General features: G+C 50.4%; 1 protein-coding gene across 6 annotated transcripts in view, besides 9 other annotated features; it reads left to right on the top strand.

Annotated features, from left to right (window-relative positions):
* The window catches only part of CD247 (CD247 molecule), an 87,890-nt gene extending 72,448 nt beyond the window's left edge, over positions 1–15,442 (top strand). For 3 of the 6 annotated variants that reach the window (NM_000734.4, XM_011510145.2, NM_001378516.1), the window contains 7 exons: positions 5,315–5,418; positions 6,682–6,738; positions 7,432–7,512; positions 10,651–10,683; positions 12,006–12,062; positions 13,023–13,058; positions 14,336–15,442. In NM_000734.4, coding sequence (NP_000725.1) covers positions 5,315–5,418; positions 6,682–6,738; positions 7,432–7,512; positions 10,651–10,683; positions 12,006–12,062; positions 13,023–13,058; positions 14,336–14,401 — 434 coding nt within the window. In that variant the 3' untranslated portion in view covers positions 14,402–15,442. Of the gene's footprint in view, positions 1–5,314; positions 5,419–6,681; positions 6,739–7,431; positions 7,513–10,647; positions 10,684–12,005; positions 12,063–13,022; positions 13,059–14,335 lie in introns of all 6 variants that reach the window. The other 3 variants (NM_198053.3, XM_011510144.3, NM_001378515.1) reach the window with 1 other exon arrangement.
* Positions 6,539–6,668: a silencer, noted in NCBI's record as "silent region_1525". NCBI's record gives its function as "represses an Ori minimal core promoter by ATAC-STARR-seq in GM12878 lymphoblastoid cells {active_cell/tissue: GM12878}" and the evidence as "EXISTENCE:reporter gene assay evidence [ECO:0000049][PMID:35858748]".
* Positions 14,135–14,194: a silencer, noted in NCBI's record as "silent region_1524". NCBI's record gives its function as "represses an Ori minimal core promoter by ATAC-STARR-seq in GM12878 lymphoblastoid cells {active_cell/tissue: GM12878}" and the evidence as "EXISTENCE:reporter gene assay evidence [ECO:0000049][PMID:35858748]".
* Positions 14,465–14,534: an enhancer, noted in NCBI's record as "active region_2041". NCBI's record gives its function as "activates an Ori minimal core promoter by ATAC-STARR-seq in GM12878 lymphoblastoid cells {active_cell/tissue: GM12878}" and the evidence as "EXISTENCE:reporter gene assay evidence [ECO:0000049][PMID:35858748]".
* Positions 14,465–15,412: a biological region, named in NCBI's record as "OCT4-NANOG-H3K27ac-H3K4me1 hESC enhancer GRCh37_chr1:167399907-167400813".
* Positions 14,506–15,412: an enhancer, noted in NCBI's record as "OCT4-NANOG-H3K27ac-H3K4me1 hESC enhancer chr1:167399907-167400813 (GRCh37/hg19 assembly coordinates)". NCBI's record gives its function as "activates a minimal SCP1, AML or CMV promoter by ChIP-STARR-seq in naive and primed H9 embryonic stem cells {active_cell/tissue: H9 hESC(naive and primed)}" and the evidence as "EXISTENCE:reporter gene assay evidence [ECO:0000049][PMID:30033119]".
* Positions 14,655–14,754: an enhancer, noted in NCBI's record as "active region_2040". NCBI's record gives its function as "activates an Ori minimal core promoter by ATAC-STARR-seq in GM12878 lymphoblastoid cells {active_cell/tissue: GM12878}" and the evidence as "EXISTENCE:reporter gene assay evidence [ECO:0000049][PMID:35858748]".
* Positions 14,965–15,014: a silencer, noted in NCBI's record as "silent region_1523". NCBI's record gives its function as "represses an Ori minimal core promoter by ATAC-STARR-seq in GM12878 lymphoblastoid cells {active_cell/tissue: GM12878}" and the evidence as "EXISTENCE:reporter gene assay evidence [ECO:0000049][PMID:35858748]".
* Positions 15,413–16,319: an enhancer, noted in NCBI's record as "OCT4-NANOG-H3K4me1 hESC enhancer chr1:167399000-167399906 (GRCh37/hg19 assembly coordinates)". NCBI's record gives its function as "activates a minimal SCP1, AML or CMV promoter by ChIP-STARR-seq in naive and primed H9 embryonic stem cells {active_cell/tissue: H9 hESC(naive and primed)}" and the evidence as "EXISTENCE:reporter gene assay evidence [ECO:0000049][PMID:30033119]".
* Positions 15,685–15,874: an enhancer, noted in NCBI's record as "active region_2039". NCBI's record gives its function as "activates an Ori minimal core promoter by ATAC-STARR-seq in GM12878 lymphoblastoid cells {active_cell/tissue: GM12878}" and the evidence as "EXISTENCE:reporter gene assay evidence [ECO:0000049][PMID:35858748]".

Raw genomic sequence — 18,516 nt, 5'->3', positions numbered from 1 at the left:
ATTCCCTTCCAGCTTTGCCACTAACCTGCAGGTGTCCTTGGTGAAGTTGCTTCATTCCTCTGATCTCAGTTTATCCACCTGTGAATTGGGCCCAAAAGTAGCCCCCTGTTTGTCTCCTGGCACTCATAAGAATCTAACTCCATCAGACACAGGAAGTCACTTTAAAAGTAGAAATTAGAGTTCAAATGAGAAGAATCCTTATTAGTTGGATGTGAGTAAGTCCCGCAGATGCCCAGCTCCGAAACAGGATTTGCTGGAGAAGGAGGTTGACTGCAGGGGAAAGGGCACCAGCGTGTATTTTCAGCCTCAGGGTATGGCAGGACCAGGTTGATTAAGGCCTGATCCCTGTTAGCAGAAGTTCATAGTCTGGCTCAGAGACAGACAGACAAACAACGCAATTCAAGTAAATCTCACCCAGAGAAACCAGATTCTGTAAGGATAGGTGCGTCTCCCCCAGGGTGCACTCTGGGGCTCCAGAATCTTCCTGTTAGTGGTCAGTACCATGAGACTTCCTGAATTCAGGGCTTTTTTTTTAATGAAGATGACAAAAGGCTACAAAGGGATGGCGAGGCTCACTGTCACTAATTAGACTCACAACACTTAGATACAATGACCCGTATGCCTAGATACTCTGTGATCATCTTTGGCTGCCCCCAGCCTCCTCTGAGCATCTCACATGGCCTATTCCTGGGATCTTGCTACAGGGCAGGAAGGTTCCAACTTATCGTGCATGGGCTTAAAGTAGAAATCATGGCAGTAACAATAGGTGGCAAAATGGAACACATACCCTTATGGGGTCCTTCACCCCATAAGAATTATTTTATTTTATCCTCACCCCATAAGAAGTATCATATTTGGCCAGGCACGGTGGCTCATGCCTGTAATCCGAGCACTTTGGGAGGCCGAGGCGGGCAGATCACTTGAGGTCAGGAGTTTGAGACCAGCCTGACCAACATGGCAAAACCCCATCTCTACTAAAATTACAAAAATTAGCAGGGCATCGTGGTGTGCACCTGTAATCCCAGCCACTTGGGAGGCTGAGGCAGGAGAATCACTTGAACCTGGGAGGCAGAGGTTGCAGTGAGCTGAGGTCATGCCATTGCACTCCAGCCTGGGCAACAGAGTGAGACTCCACTTAAAAAAAAAAAAAAGTATCGTATTTAACCCTCACCACCATCTAATGAGACAGGTAGTGTTGTTATCCCCATTTTACAGATGAGAAAACGAAGGCTTAGAGAAGTTCCATAATACACAGTTCAGAAGTACAGTGTATAAGAAGGACCAAAGCTTTAATTTTATTGCATCTGTTTGACAGAAATTTACATTTGTTGTAGGGTATGGCTGCATCTCTACAGAAGGCAGGGCTTCCCTCTCACATGCTGTGGCCCCTGTAATGATGCAGGTCTGAATCTCAATCCATTCATGGCCATGCAGTGAAGTCCCCATGCCCAGGTTCCACTCCAGGCCACTTAAGTCAGAGCCTCAGGGGAGAGGGCGGTGGATTGAGAGTCTGTGTGAGAATGCTCTATTAGTCTCTGGGGCTCCTTTCAGATGCTGAGGTTCTCCTGGGTGCTGTACTCTTGGGTAGGGATCAGGAACATTAAATAAAACAGCTTCTCCACTTTTACAGAAAAGTAGCTACCATGTAATACCCTGAAACCTCCTAGGAAGCAGCTGCTGGTCCCTTTGGGATGGAATTGGTAGAAATACGAAGAAGCCACAGGAGCGCGCACAGGGAAGAAGCCAGGACCAAGTAGAGAGTGGCGATGCGGTGCCTTTGAGCTGGCATCCTGCAAAACTGTCTGTTGTCCAGGGAAGCTCCTACACCTTGTGTGCGGCCTCAAGAGCTAAGACTTAAGCCCCATGAGGGCAGGGACTCAGAAGACTCGACCCAAATATCAGACATCATTGTCTTTTGATTCTCATCACAACCCTTAAGGTAGATATGATTACCCTCCATTTAATAGATGAGGTAACTGAGGCCCAGAGAGGGAAGTGACTTGTCCAAAACCACACAGCTAGTAAGTGGCAAGAGAAGTACTCGAACCCACCTGCACGCAATCCAGAGTTCATTCCATTTCAATAGTTCCCGGCACAGAGCAGATGCCCAATGAATATTTAATTAATTGCGTAACTGAATCAGGTCCTGCATCCCTGCATGGAGCTTTCTGGGCCATGACTGTCTTCCTCAGGCCCATCTCTCCCAGCACAGGTATAGTGGGACCGAGGAGAGGAGGGTCCTACACAGGGAATTATGTTGGGGTTAATATCCTCTCCTCCACCCAACCACACACAGCACACTTGTCATCAGTCATAAAACTATGCAGAAAGAAAGGAAGAAGGAAGGAGGGAAGGAAGAAAGGAAGGAAACTTGTTCATATTATTTATCTCAGGGACATGCCCAATCCCCCTGCCCCTTTGTGTTGTGCTGAGTCTGCACAACACAAAGAAATATTTCTTATTTGTGCTAAATTTACTGTCCAGTAATTTTTCTGTTCTAATTTTCTGTGACAAGCAGCTGAGTGATTTTCTCCTGGATTTTCTTCTGAGTCTCAACCAGTCCCATAAATCGCCACGGTTATCTCCTCTGCAGTCCTCACAGCAAAAAGTCACCCCAGCTTTGGTGGCCTTCATGGGGGCTGGCTTGTCCCCCAGAGGCCTTTAGATCGTCCCTAGGTCAGTGAGGACTTCCAGCAATACCTTGGGGCCAGAGGGCAGGCACACCTGGGGCTGGGCCCAGCATCTTCCTCATCACTGAAGTTCAGCCCTGAAAAATTCCATGATATCGAGTGATTGTCTACCCTGTGCCCTGCACTCTGATGCTGGGGCTGGAGGAAGAGGCAATAATGAAGATGCAGCCATTGGTCTCAGGTGCTGACAGCCTAGATGGAGGGGCATCTGAGTCCTGAGGAGTTGGGTTTGTAGAGCGCTTTGGGGGATATAGGCTCTTGAACCGACATCCTCTCACTTTTTCCTCAGGGGCTCAGGTGGTGGGACAGTCTGATTTCAACAGGTGTTGAGTGGAGGGGTAGAACGCAAGCCTAGAAAAAGATCTAGCTCAGCAGGCCAGGGGGTAGAAAAATATGGGTGTTCAAGGAAGAATGGGGGGAAAAGACAAGAGCAGAGGGACAGGGTGGCACAAAGCTGTGGTCTTTTCAGGCCTGGACTGGTTATGGCAGAGCCCTAACATGGCTGGACAAAGAGCTTGGACTCTCGTCCGAGTGGCTGGGTCATCAATGGTCTCTGGGCAGGGTCTGTGGGAGGTTTGTAGAGATCAGCTGCCTGGGGGCAAGAGGGGTCCTGAATTAGGGTTGGAGTCAAAAGCCAGGGGACAGAGGGATTCAGGGTGGTGGGGGTGGGGACACTGGCGGCTGCCTTTGAATCATCTGCTTCCATAGTTCGTCAGGGAGGCCAAAACGTTGCTGGCATGGAGGGGTAGGCAGGGCTGGCCCAGGGGCAGGAAGGGGGCGAGAACTGCTAGGGATCAGTCCTGGGCTGCCTGTGACCGTGTGCTCTGAACCCGAATACTCGGTGCCTCAGTGTCCGAGTGTGGGTGGCAGGAGGATCTGACGATGATTACATTTAAGGCAGTGTCTGAAGAAATGTTAGTTTTCACCCTGTTCAACAGAAGAGGCAGCTGACAGAGCATACATAACCTGCCCCAAATCACACAGCCAGAAAGAATGACAGCACTCCCACATATGGCCTCCACTCCCTCTGCCCTCATCTGGGTCCAAAGGCCACCAGAGGGCGCCCAGGCCTTGGGAGACAGACACTAGCGGGGCTGGCCTGGGACCTCTGCTCTAGTTACCAGGCAGGGGTGGAGTGAGATGGGTACCACACCCTGTTTTACAGGTTGAGTTGCTGCACGTTTACCTAGTAGGAAGTATGGTCAGACTAAAATCTGAGTCTCCTCATTCACAGTGCAATGATGTTCCAAATAAAAACACTAACTTTTTAAATTTTTTTTTGAGACGGAGCCTCACTCTGTGTGCCAGGCTGAAGTGCAGTGGCGTGATCTCGGCTCACTGCAACCTCTGCCTCCCAGGTTCCAGCGATTCTCCTGCCTCAGCCTCCAGAGTGGCTGTGATCAAAGCTGCCAGCCACCACGCCCAGCTAATTTTCGTATTTTTAGTAGAGATGGGGTTTCACCACGTTGGCCAGGCTGGACTTGAACTCCTGACCTCAAGTGATACACCCATGTCAGCCTCCCAAAGTGCTGGGATTACAGGCGTGAGCCACCGCCCCCAGCCCAAAAATGCAAACTTTTATTTAACCAGAGTATTTAGTGTATCTGCATTCTTCAGCCCATTGTACTCCAATGGCAGTGCCAACTAAACGTGCATTAACTACAGCTTGACAAAGGTTAATATGGCACTAGGAGTTAGGGGCCCCTGGGAAATTTGCAGTGGGAGAAGCTAACACAGAAGGGATCTTTGAGCTGCATTTTGTAGGATGCATCAAATGTTACCAAATAGTAGGGTTTCAGGGAGAGAAATGGAGGGAACATGAAGAGGGAACAGAGAGTGCAAGGCACAGGGCAAATAGTCTGGAAGAGCAAGGCGTGTCCTGGGAATGGGGTGTGTGTAGTGGGAGGAGGGGAGACAGAGAAGGCTGAGGCCATGGAGCTGGGACTAGGGGACAGGGAGATGCTGGGCCTAGGTGGGGAGGGGCACCAAAGGTACCTCTGTCTGTTGGCCATGAAACCCTTCAGGGAACAGGGAAGGGAAGCCGAGCACCAGATCCCACTGTCCTAGGCGGGAGAGTGCTTGGCACTGAGGAGGCAGGGAGTTGGGGGAGAGTTAACCCAGATTCTCCCTGTCCTAGTTAACTGTCAGATATTGAAATGATCTCATTTGACCATCATTTGACCTATTGTCTCCCTGTGGGTAGGCCTCAGAGCCACACACCTCAGGCCAGGAGTACCATTCATCCAGACGTGAACATCTTCCCGAGGCTTCCAGAGTTCTTGGTTCACACCGGGGCTAACATGGCTGGGCTTCTGCTGCAGTGGCAGGAGCTCTGTGCACAGAGAACAGCCTCATCTGCTCGCCTTGTTTCCACCTCCCCTCCCATTGCCCCAGGTTCTTTGGCCCCACAGCGGCCACATCTGCCGTTGGTGCCAATAGGTTTTCCAGGAGCTGGTTGAGGTGGGAGGGAGGGAGAGGGTTGTGATCAGGCTGAGGCATGGGGATTGGATATAGTCTCCGTGTCATGATTTATTTGGTCAGTCAGTCCTAGTGCCACCCTGGGGTAATGGGGATGTGTTCTCGTCACCTTGGGCCTGGCTGACCAGCTTTATCTCTTGGCACAGAGGCACAGAGCTTTGGCCTGCTGGATCCCAAACTCTGCTACCTGCTGGATGGAATCCTCTTCATCTATGGTGTCATTCTCACTGCCTTGTTCCTGAGAGTGAAGGTGGGTACCACTGGGCTTTGGGAGGAGGGCACGGGGTCCCCCACTTGATGGATGTTCAGAGGGGCCTTGGTCTTGGAAGGTCTCAAGCTCGGGTGGTGCCTGGGGCTTGGTATCCAGGAGCAAAGCAAGGACCAGCCAAGTGTGTGCCTTGAGTGGGCTGAGGAGGAGGTGGCAGTGTCTGGCTGAGATGGACAGGGTAGGAGGGAGAGCCTGGTGCTAGGCACCTCCATGACAAGCCGTACAAATGTGTGCACATCAGAGTGTCCCAGGGAAGGCGATGCTACTGGTGACAAAGGGGCTTACACTCAGGCAGAGGTCCTTCTTTCCAAGTGTGAATGAAGGCCATGTTAGCCTTTCTCTTGAAAAGGCCCTTTCCTCATCTGTAACTGGGGAGCTGACCAGAGCGTGGGTTTTTCACTTGGTGCCTTGCAGACCCTGGATTTCTTCGTGGGGCTGGTCATGGTGTGGGCAGAGATTGGAAGAATTTAGGAGTAAAGGGGAGAATCCAGTCCCAGTCATCACTTCAGTGCTTCTCAACCCATTTCTTGTTTGAATTTTGGACTTTGGCATAATATTTTATTTGAAAAACCAAATCTTACTGAGTTTCTTGTTTTAAGTTTGAAAATGCTGCCCTAGATGATTTCTAAGGTTGTTTCCAATGCTCTAGATCTGTAAGACATTGCAGTTTCTCCCGCCTGAAGCGGCATGAAGTGAAGCAGGAGTGAGGCTGTGTCAGCTTCCCACAGATGCTCAGGACACTAAGCGAACGCGAGGCTTCCTGGGCACCGGGGCAGCCGGGCGATGGCTGAGGGCTGGGCGAGTGATGCACGTACAGTACACTGCTCCGGGGGTCAAGATAGGAGGCGGGATCTTGACCAGCCGCCATCCACCCTGGATTGTCCTCAGAGTCCCCGGAGGAAGGGATCCTAGAGAATACTCATGTCCCCGGGGGCGCAGACCAAGAACCTTATACCTCTGCGCACGCGCGAGGGCGCTAGCCCGGGAAGAATAAACTCCAGCGGGTCCTGGGCCAGCGTGATGAATGCACGTGTCACAGGCGGGAGGAAAAAGGACAACTGGGCTCAGAAAAAGGGGCTGCCACGCCCCGGCCCCTGCAAGGGCTCAGCCCCAGGAGGCAGGGCAGCATTGTTAGTTGCCAAGGAGCGGAGTAGGGCTGTCCCTCGGGTCGCCGCGCGCCCTGGCACCCCGGCTCCCCTGCGCGCCCTCGCGGAGCAGTAACGCGCTTTGCTTTCTGTGTTGCAGTTCAGCAGGAGCGCAGACGCCCCCGCGTACCAGCAGGGCCAGAACCAGCTCTATAACGTAAGTCAGCCTCGCCGTAGACCCTCCGGAAAGGAAGGGCAGCCTCCTCCTCGGACCTAGGGAACGCGCCCGCCAGAGTCTTGGGTTTAGGTTTGGTCCCTAGCTATCACCTCTGCGACCCGGCTGCAACTTGTTTAACCTCAGTTTTCTAACCCACAAAACAGGTGTAGTAATTGTACCTGTCTCAAAGGGCGCCATAAAGATTACATGCTTTAATGTCTTGATGCATGGAACGAGCTTAGTCTAGTGCCTGCCACTAGTGAGCCCCCAAGCCATCAGCAATTTGCAAAGGCTAGAGGGGGGTGGAGAAGGAATGTATTAGAATCTTCCCAGAGGAGGGGAAAGCGATTTCACACTCCCTGTGCAATGGGACTGTGGTGAAATTGACTACCACCTCTGAGCCCCCACTTCTCTATTTGCTCATGAGAATGTTGATCCTTATCCCGTTGGACTGATCAGCCTATAGTACTTGGTGACCTTTGGGGATCCCATCCACTGTCATGTTAAGGCGTGTTCTCTGAGATGTCCTCTGGGATGATGGTCTCCAGATGGACCAGTTACCATCCCCTCCCCAGCCCCTGCCCCTCTTTTTATGAGCCACCCCAGAGAGGGAAACCACACTCCCCAGTCCAGCTGGCTCCATCCTTCTGAGGTTCCTCCGTCCTGTGTCTGACACTTTCTTATCTGTTATAGGAGCTCAATCTAGGACGAAGAGAGGAGTACGATGTTTTGGACAAGAGACGTGGCCGGGACCCTGAGATGGGGGGAAAGCCGGTAGGGGTTCCTCTACCTTCCTGTGTGTTCCTGCATGTGTGGTGGGGCTCAGCCCAGGCTGTGGGGGAGGGCTCCTCAGCTCACTCTGCAACCAGACTCGACCCTCACATGTGTGGGCCCAGGACAAGAGAAGAGATGGAGACCCACTTGCTGCCGCACCCTCTTCCTTCCTCCTTGGCTCCATTCTGCATCTCAAGGGGCCTCACCCCCGGACGTGGCACCCCACTGCTCATGTCTAAGCTCTACCCACTTCCCCTCAAACTGCTCCTTGGCCATCCTGAGATGCACATACGGTGACGCCATCTGCCCCAAGAGGACAGACCTGGTGAAGAGGTCCATACAGGAAGGGCCCAAGACCCCTGGATAACCCACATATGGTCGGGGTATGGTCCCTGGGGGGTTTGACCTCTTGGCTTTGTAGACACTATACCTGTGGGTATACCTGTGGGTAGGGGAGCAGCTGGATGACACCACAGTAGGGTAGGGTCCTCTTTGTTTTTTCCCCTTCATTCTGATTTCCTTCCTTCCTTCCTTCCTTCCTTCCTTCCTCTGTCTTTATTTATTTTATATTGACAAATTATAGTTCTACATATTTATGGGGTACAAAGTATTGTTATGATTTTTGAATATAATATGAAATGATTAAATTAAGCTAATTAACATATTTATCACTTCAAATCTTTAACTTTTTTGTGATGAGAACATTAGCAACTTACTCTTAGAGATATTAAAATGTATAGTACTCACATATTAACTATATTCAGCATGTTGTGCTGTTGATCTAAAAATAAATTACTCTTCCTATCTAATTGAGGCTTTGTACCCTGTGACTATCATCTCCCCATTCCCCCCATTCCCCAGCCTCTGGTAAACATCATGCTACCTGTCCATGCTTCAGTGAGTTAAACTGTTTTAGATTCCACATATAGGTGAGAACATGGAGTGTTTGTCTTTCTGTGCCTGGCTGATTTCACTTGGCATAATGGTCTCTAGTTCCATCCATGTTAGAGTGAATAACAGAATTTCTTCCTTTTTAAAAGCTGAATAGTATTCTATTGTGTGTATGTTCCACAGTCTCTTTATCTGTTCATTCTTTGATGGACACTTAGGTTGATTCCATAACTTGGTTATTGGTTTCTTTTGTTTTGTTTTCTTTTTTTTTTTGAGACAGCGTTTAGCTTTTGTTGCCCAGGCTGGGGTGCAACGGCACAGTCTCGGCTCACCACAACCTCTGCCTCTAGGGTTCAAGCAATTCTCCTGCCTCAGCCTCCCGAGTAGCTGGGATTACAGGCATGCGCCACCACGCTTGGCTAATTTTGTAGTTTTTTTAGTAGAGACGGGGTTTCTCCATGTTGATCAGGCTGGTCTCGAACTTTCGACCTCAAGTGATCTGCCCGCCTCAGCCAACCAAAGTGCTGCGATTCCAGGCGTGAGCCACCACACCCAGCCTTGGTTATTGTTAATAGGACTACAATCTGGAATCACAGGTGTAAGCCCCCGCGCCCAGCCGTGGTTATTGTTAATAGTGCTACAATCAACATGGGAGTATAGACATTTCTTCAACAAGCAGACTTCAAATCTTTTGGGTAAATACCCAGAAGCGGGATTGTTGGGTCATATGGTAGTTCTATTTTTAGTTTTTTGTGGAGCCTCAATACTGTTTTCCATAATGGTTGTATTAATTTACATTCCCACCAAGAGTGTTCAAGGGTTTCCTTTTCTCTCCATCCTTGCCAACTATTGTTGTCTTTTGTCTTTTTGGTAATGCGCACCCTAACAAGTGTGAGGTGATCTCATTGTGGTTTTACTTTTTATCTCCCTAATGGTTAGTGATGTTAAGCATTTTTTCATATGTCTCTTAGCCATTTATATGTCTTCTTTTGAGAAATATCTATTCATCTATGATTTATTATGGAAGTTTTACAGTTTCAGGCCTTATGTTTAAGTCTTTAATCCATTTTCAGTTGATTTTTGTATACGGTGTGAGATAAGGTCCAATTTCATTATTTTGCTTGTGGATATCCAGGTTTTCCAACACCGTTTATTGAAGAGACCATTCATTTCCCATTGTATATTCTTGGCACCTTTTGCTAATTGCTCGGCTGGGACCTATGTTACTATATTGAATAGAAGTAGTGAGTGTGGGCATCTTTGTCTTGTTTCAGATCTTAGAAGAAAGGGAGGAAAGGCTTCAGCTTTTCCCTGCTGAGTGTGGTGTTAGCTGTGGATTGGTCATATGTGGCCTTTATTGTGTGGAGGCACATTCCTTCTATACCTAATTTGTTGAGAGTTTTTAGCATGAAAGGATGTTAAATTTTGTCAAATGCTTTTCCTGCATCTAGTGAGATGATCATGATTTTTGTTCTTCATTCTGTTAATGTGGTGTATCATGTTTATTGATTTCGTTTGTTGAACCATCCTTGCATCCCAGGGATTAATCCCACTTGATCACACTGAATGATCCTTTTAATGTGTTGTTAAATTTGACTTGTTAGGGTCCTTTTAAGCACAGGGCTCAGGACAAAGGCCAGGGCTGTCCTGGTGTAAGGGCAGTGCTGCCAGATGCTGCCAGTGGTCACGCCTGTCCATCCAGCCCCTGTCCAGGCTGATCCCTGTGCTGGTTGTGTTGTTGCTAGAGTGAATGGGCAGTAGAGAGGCTGTCGATTTCATTGACCACTCCTCACCCCCACCATCCAAGTTTATCTTGCCTCCTCTCCTCTTGTCAGGACTAGGAGGGTGTGGGGAGGGCACCTTTCAGTAGGCACTCACTACCAGTGGCTGGCCCTGCTCCAAATGATGGTATGTGACTCCTTTTGTCTTCAGCCAAAAGTCCCACTTGTCAGCTTGTGATGTGTGTGGGCGTCCCGATGGCCTGCCCTGGGCAATGCTGGGCTTGGGTGGGCCCCTCTGGAAGAGCGAAGTGTGTATCCAGTTGCAGGTAACCAAGTATGAGCCATGTAGTGCCATGAGGGCCCCAACAGTGGCCTAGGCAAGGCTGGGGTAGCACAGGGAGGAGAGAGGCAGACGGCAGAGCCCCAGGAAACTGCAGTCAGGGGGCAGGATGGGGTTTGCTGTACTTTCATGGCTTGGGTTTGTGTTTCTCTCCCTCTAACGTCTTCCCGTTGTCTTTCCTAGCAGAGAAGGAAGAACCCTCAGGAAGGCCTGTACAATGTGAGTAGAGGAGACCTCACATTTGACCTTGGAAAGTTGGAGGAAGGGCTGGAGGAGGGCTCCAGAGGAAGGGCTGGAGGAAGGGCTGGAGGAGGGCTCCAGAGGAAGGGCTGGAGGAAGGGCTGGAGGAGGGCTCCGGAGGAAGGGCTGGAGGAAGGGCTGGAGGAGGGCTCCGGAGGAAGGGCTGGAGGAAGGGCTGGAGGAGGGCTCCGGAGGAAGGGCTGGAGGAAGGGCTGGAGGAGGGCTCCGGAGGAAGGGCTGGAGGAAGGGCTGGAGGAGGGCTCCGGAGGAAGGGCTGGAGGTAGGGCTGGAGGAGGGCTCCGGAGGAAGGGCTGGAGGAAGGGCTGGAGGAGGGCTCCGGAGGAAGGGCTGGAGGAAGGGCTGGAGGAGGGCTCCGGAGGAAGGGCTGGAGGAAGGGCTGGAGGAGGGCTCCGGAGGAAGGGCTGGAGGAGGGCTCCGGAGGAAGGGCTGGAGGAAGGGCTGGAGGAGGGCTCCAGAGGAAGGCGGTTGCTCCTCACTCTGTGGTCTTTGTCTGTCCAGACCTTCCCTTCTTGGATCGAGTAATGTCTCACCTGCTTGCGGCCTGCAGCAGCACCTGCTTCTAGAAAGTCTCCTTAGCTGAAAAGTGCCGAGTAATCTCCCTTCCCTCCCCAAACCCTGCTGCTGGAGTTCCCAGGTTGATCAGCCTGGGGTGTAGGGGGACACAGCAAGGTCAAGCTAGGCAAGGACGAGGTGGCTGGCCCCTTCGAGGGGCTCCTGTCCTGGGTGCTGAAGTCTTCTGAGTGTACCCCCCTATAGGAAGGTCAACCTCACCCTCCTGGGTGTGACCCTGAACCCTGATTGTCGATCTGGGTTGCCATGCAGGAGACCCTTGCAGGTGGCAGCCTTCTGTGAAGGAGATGCCTCCCCGCCCCTCCTGTGGGGAGGGAGGGTTGATCTACAGCCCGTTTGGCTGTGTAAAGAGACAACTTGCTCAGATAAATGATTCTGGGGCTCCAGGTGAGCCCTTGTTTTGCCCAGTCTCCGTGTCTTTGTCTAGAACTCCACCTCCTATCTTTTTGAGCCTAACTTGAGCCCCTCAGCTCAGTGCAAAGAGCTGGCAGCTCGGAGGAGACTCCAAAGGGCTGAGGATGAGGGGGGTGGGCTGGAGCTGGTTGTGGGCAGAGAAGTTTGTGTGCATAAGGTTTGGAGCCTTGATTGTGGGAGCCCTCCCTGTCTGCCACTGCTGCCAACTTGGGGATCAAGAAGCTTCCTGTTGTAGGGGAACCTGCTGCTTTCTGCATTAGTTGGTAAAAATCAGTGTTCCACGCCCTCTTCTGCAGGAACTGCAGAAAGATAAGATGGCGGAGGCCTACAGTGAGATTGGGATGAAAGGCGAGGTGAGTGTTGCTGTTTCTTAATTTCCGAGGGAGTTCCTCTTGGTCCTCCAGACACGCCTGCTGCAGGCCTCCTTTCCCATCCACTTCTCATCCCAGCTGCAAATGCCCATGTGGTGGCCATCAGAGGTGAAGGCGAACCTGGCTGTCACCCAGCCGGGCAGAACATAAGAAACTAAGGAAGGGCTGATGCTCTTTCAGTACAGAAAACCACATCTAGATTCTATGACAGCCTAAGCTTTGCAAAAGCAGGTCCGTTTTAATAACAGGAAGCATCGAGTGCTTAATATGTGCTGCCGTGTTCAGTGCTCAGGACCACAGGTCCCAGGACAACATGAAAACAATTCATCAACAATTAAGAATTGTTCATCAACAATTAATTGTTCATCAACAATTAAGAATTTCAAAATGGTGAGAGTGAAGCATTGACCCCTTCCAAGCAGGGGTTCTCTGTAGTTTTATTTAATTCCCACAACAACCCAATGAGAAACATGTGCCCTGCAAGGCACAAGGAGGTTGAGTGACTTACCCAAGGTCTTCTAGCTGGTAAACGGGCACGTGATTGAACTGACTATGCCAGAGCTCGTAACTGCTCAAAACAGCTGGTTGTCAGTGAGCAAAAATGACTAGCCAAGAACTTTAAGAGCTGAAGGGAAGCCCATTTATCTAAGCAGTAGGCAATATAGGTCCTGCGGGCCCTAGACCTTAGGAATCTGATGTCTGTGAGGATCTGAGTGGGGTGGAGCAAACCCAAGCCCCATCATGGCCAGGCCTCACCTTACTCTGCAGAGATGAAGGTCTGACCAGGGGCCTGAGGATCCTTCTCTCCCAGGGGCAGGGGTGCTGCTGGGAGACAGTTACCTCTGACTTCCTGGGTACCTTGGGAGGGGCCCTTGAGCAGAAATGCCACTACTGACTGCCTGACTTTCTAATCCTTTTCTCATTTCACTCCCAAACAACCAGCGCCGGAGGGGCAAGGGGCACGATGGCCTTTACCAGGTAGGAGCTGCCGGCGTCCCTTCAGTGGAAGGGGCACCACCTGACAAGGGGCAAGATCAAGGCCCCCACATTTTGCCTGCTGGTGGCACCAGCTCTTGCCAACAGCTGGGCAGGGCAAGCCCAAGGCACCCATTTAGGCCAGTGGCAACGCCACTGCCAATAAGTCCCTGGAGCACAGCTGGGACTTGGCCATTCAAGCGAATTACTTGGCTCCAACCATGCCTTGCTTGGCCATGGCAGACAGAGCAGCAGCTGTCCAGAGGGTACGCAGCCTCCCCGCCGATGCAGATGGAGGCAAAGGACCACACAAGTGATTATCCTGCCTCTTTGGGTTCTTGTAGAACCCTCACTCTGCATCATTTCCTTAGGCCTAGTAAGATGAGAGGTTGGCTGGGAAGACTGAAGGAAAAAAAGCTAAGAAAAATGGCAGCTTCAGAAAGAAAATGTTATGTAGTTAGGTGCCTGGTTTTTGCAAATCAGTGCAGGCAATTATGCAAACTAAGCACGGTCAAACTACTTCTCTAAAACATGATCCCCAGCGGGTTGTCATTTCCCTCCTTCTGGCTCCCATGGGCTGTTCATAGCTCGTTCTTCTGACTCTAGTGTCAGGATGCCCAGCTTGCCTGAGTTGAGTGATATCAAAAGGGCCCCAGAAACTTACCTGTGTGTGGCTGCTGTTGATCCTTCTCCTTCCTGGCCCCTGGACCAGGGGGACAGGCATTCCAGCAGGTTTGGGGCCAGCCTTGTGGGCCTGTTCGTGACCAAGAAAACACTAGAATCACCGGGCCTGGGAAGGGAAGGAGGCTCACAGAGGGCTGAGGCCAAGGAGCCCCTCTTCTCCCTGTGACAAGTCCAGGCTTCCTTTGGGCCCAGGTGTCAGGGACAGCAGATTCTCTGGAGCAGGTCTGGGCCCTCCCCCCTGATTCCTGCCCAATATGGGAGGTGGGAGACTCCTTTCTCTTAGGTCCAGCAGGAAGTTGGCGGGGCCCAAGCACTGTAAGGCACAGCATTTGAGGAGCTGAGAAGAGGGGTGAGAATTTAGCTGGAAAGGAGTTGCTGCAAGGCCATTCCCGGCAGGGCACAGCACCCATCTACCAACGAAGCTGTTGCAGCCAAGGCTCCTGCCCGTGGGGCCAGGGGGATTATTCCTGGGCCTCTGGAGGCTGGGTGGGTGGTCACAGGGCTGTGCTGCAGAGACACCTGTTGGCCTCTGGGTTGGCTCCTGCCCACACAGGCTACTGACCCACTCTTTGTTTTCTGATTTGCTTTCACGCCAGGGTCTCAGTACAGCCACCAAGGACACCTACGACGCCCTTCACATGCAGGCCCTGCCCCCTCGCTAACAGCCAGGGGATTTCACCACTCAAAGGCCAGACCTGCAGACGCCCAGATTATGAGACACAGGATGAAGCATTTACAACCCGGTTCACTCTTCTCAGCCACTGAAGTATTCCCCTTTATGTACAGGATGCTTTGGTTATATTTAGCTCCAAACCTTCACACACAGACTGTTGTCCCTGCACTCTTTAAGGGAGTGTACTCCCAGGGCTTACGGCCCTGGCCTTGGGCCCTCTGGTTTGCCGGTGGTGCAGGTAGACCTGTCTCCTGGCGGTTCCTCGTTCTCCCTGGGAGGCGGGCGCACTGCCTCTCACAGCTGAGTTGTTGAGTCTGTTTTGTAAAGTCCCCAGAGAAAGCGCAGATGCTAGCACATGCCCTAATGTCTGTATCACTCTGTGTCTGAGTGGCTTCACTCCTGCTGTAAATTTGGCTTCTGTTGTCACCTTCACCTCCTTTCAAGGTAACTGTACTGGGCCATGTTGTGCCTCCCTGGTGAGAGGGCCGGGCAGAGGGGCAGATGGAAAGGAGCCTAGGCCAGGTGCAACCAGGGAGCTGCAGGGGCATGGGAAGGTGGGCGGGCAGGGGAGGGTCAGCCAGGGCCTGCGAGGGCAGCGGGAGCCTCCCTGCCTCAGGCCTCTGTGCCGCACCATTGAACTGTACCATGTGCTACAGGGGCCAGAAGATGAACAGACTGACCTTGATGAGCTGTGCACAAAGTGGCATAAAAAACATGTGGTTACACAGTGTGAATAAAGTGCTGCGGAGCAAGAGGAGGCCGTTGATTCACTTCACGCTTTCAGCGAATGACAAAATCATCTTTGTGAAGGCCTCGCAGGAAGACCCAACACATGGGACCTATAACTGCCCAGCGGACAGTGGCAGGACAGGAAAAACCCGTCAATGTACTAGGATACTGCTGCGTCATTACAGGGCACAGGCCATGGATGGAAAACGCTCTCTACTCTGCTTTTTTTCTACTGTTTTAATTTATACTGGCATGCTAAAGCCTTCCTATTTTGCATAATAAATGCTTCAGTGAAAATGCAGCTTTACTAAGCTTTATTTCAGCAGTCAAGCTTGTAATGGCAATTTAGTCATCAGTAAATCAGCAGGTTGCCCTTGGGGGAGGAGGGGAGCAAAACTGCTGATTCTCAGGAGAGAACAGGACAGTTCCTGGGAACGAGCACATGAGCACAGGTGCATCCTGCGGCCCGGAATGCGGCAATATGGGTGGTGTCACACACGGCAAGTGGGCCGGGCATCCCGGCTGGGTGGCTGTGCCTTAGACAGAGAGAGTGGGGCTTGGTGCAATACAATGTGTCAGGATGGGCCCAGTCTTATGCCAGAAACAGAGAGGGCTATGGGAAAGGAGCCCTGCAGCACGGCACCAGCTTGTCAGGTGCAGGAAAACAAGCGCGAAAGGCTGGCCTGGCACCCAGGCATCAGAATAGACAGCGTGTGAGCAGAAGGTGTCCGGAAGTTATGCACAGCAGCTGACGCCACAGTGCAAAATGTCTCAGTGCATAGGGTTTGAGGGAGGGATGGAGAACAAGTCTTTTAGGCGTTTCTCTCACAAAAGGTGGCCCTGTCCCTAGCAGTGTTTCCTCTAACTGCAGTGGCTATATATAGGGCCCCAATTCAACAAGCCCACCAACTAATATTGTGTAAAGACTGAAATCTATACCTTGACATTTTCAAAAAGGAAATCCAAGACCATGACTGTTAAAGCCCCTGAAAATTTGGGATTCCAACAGGAGCCACGCACATCATCACTAGGCATATTTAACAATTCACAGGCAACTCATAAGGAGAAGGCATTTGATTTGTAACTCAGCCTCAGGGGAATTCTGCTACTCACTGGGCTTTTAAAACTGAAATCTGGTTCATCTATTAGTGAAAGAGAGTGCCTCTCACATCGAGGGCTTGTGCTAGACCAAGTTTCAAGGTCAGCTGACATATATACAGGCTGTGTGACCTGGATGGCTGGTTTGAAAAGTGAGTTGATCCAATTCTGTCAAGAATATGTCATTCTGGGCATGGTGGCTCATGCCTGTAATCCCAGCATTTTGTGAGGCTGAGGCAGGAGAATCCTTTGAGCCCAGGAGTTTGAGACCAGCCTGGGCAACACAGGAGGACCCCGTCTCTACAAAAAAATACAGCTGGGCATGGCGGCATGTGCCTGTGTTCCTCGCTACTTGGGATGCTGAAGCTAGAGGATCGCTTGAGCACAGGAGGTCAAGGCTGCAGTGAGCCGAAATCCAGCCTGGGTAACAGAAGGAGACCCTATCTCAAAATATATATATATATATATAATTTTTTTATAACATGTCTAAAGAGGCAAAAAGAAAAGCTGGCAGTGGGCAGTGAGCTATGGTGCTAGAGCTAAACTGAGGTGTGGGCCACATCAGGCTACGTGCAAGGTAACCACACAGACAGCAAGCTGGGGGAGAACTGAGATATGCTCACAGAAGCAGGGCTGAGAAACCAGTTTCTGAGAGAGCAAAGCCCTGAATCCGAGGGGAGAGCGGCTAGCCCTGGAACTGCCAGGGTTCCTGTCTTTCCTGAGGTCTGGCAATGCCTTCTCCACAGCACAACTGCACTCCCTCCATCCTAAGACACTGTTGGTTACTGATGTATCAACTTATTTCAAGGGCAAAAACACTAAATATCCATTGTAAGATGTAGATCTGTTTCATGGGTTAAAATGTGAAGATATGCTTAGAATCAAGGAAACATGGAATTTTACTTGTATTGAGGAAACACATTATATATAAAGATGGAAGCTTTCAATATTTTTCAAACGTTTATTCAAATGTCACTAAACTCAGAGATAAGATATGAATATTTCTGATCGCTTTTCTTCTTAGAGTATAATTTGAGGTCATTCTTGGAATAAGATCCAAGGTTTCTAGTTTAAAATGTTCCTATAAGCAGAGAAATACTCAAAACTGCAAAGCCTGGCTTGGCAGAGAAAAAATGGCAGATGACCTACTTAGGCTAAGAGGACAACTTCCGGGGTGATTTAAAGCCTTGTCATTTGGCCAACTGTTTAGCCACAGGCCTCAAACTGTCCATGAATAACTTGTGATGTGTTTTGGTTGCTTGGTGCTGGACATTTCAGTTGTTGATCAACAACTACTTTTGTGAACCCATGACTGAGTCCTAACACCGGATTTCCTGTTAACTTCAACCTGGGTCTTTGGAGAGATGTAAGTCCCTCCAAAAACAAAAGAGTAAGGGCATATATTATTCACATCCTGCCATAGGTAATTCAGCTTTGTATACAAACCTGGAAATGGGTTAGAATTTAACAACTTTTTCACAAAGGACTACAGGGTAACAGAATCTCATCAGTTGTTTATCCTCATTCCTTAGGATATGACAAACGAGTTTTGCTTGCTAAGTCTGTGAGCACGACACTATCTCAAAAACAGGATTTCTGTTAAAAACTTGACATTATTTTAAGAAAATAACTACAAACTGAGACATAAGCCATATATCTAAGGAATGGAATGGAAAAATATAAATTCTATGATAAAGGAGCAGGGAGAAAGGGACCCACCATTTGCCTTCCCATTTTGGTCCCTTTCCAGGAGAGCGAGCACATCTTGCGACAACGGCTCTCCACATCATCTAATTCAAGAATGCCTGCCAGATGGCCAGCACGTGATAGACAACTTCCCCAGGTTCTTCAGTAAGCTGAAGCCTTCTCTCTGTGGGGAATTCATTTTAAAATTCAAACTTTACTTTTCATGAAATGAATGAATTGTAGTAAGACACTAAATGCTAAGTGGTATTTATAAGTCTGAAGAAGCTAAGTTGTGCAGCCTCGAACAGGAGGAGGACCAGATGCCAAGTTCAGGGTTACCTTCCTTCGGAGGACCCCCCACCCGGCCCCCACCCAGTGAATGTTCAGGACTTGGCAAGAAATGCTAGAGGGGCAGTGCAGTTTAAACAATACATTTGGAAAAAGTTGAGTTCGGTCCCAGTTCTGCAGTCAAATACACAGTGAGATGGAGCTTTGAAGAGCTCCCTTGCAGGATCAATCATGGGCCTGCGTGTTTGATCACACAAAGTACTTGGGCCTGAGGGAGACTACTGCTACTCAGGGTCCCACGAA

Source organism: Homo sapiens, chromosome 1 (genome assembly GCF_000001405.40).
Source record: "Homo sapiens chromosome 1, GRCh38.p14 Primary Assembly".
Classification (NCBI taxonomy): domain Eukaryota; kingdom Metazoa; phylum Chordata; class Mammalia; order Primates; family Hominidae; genus Homo; species Homo sapiens.
The sequence above is the reverse complement of the archived record's forward strand: the minus strand, read 5'-3'. Positions and strand labels throughout refer to the sequence as shown.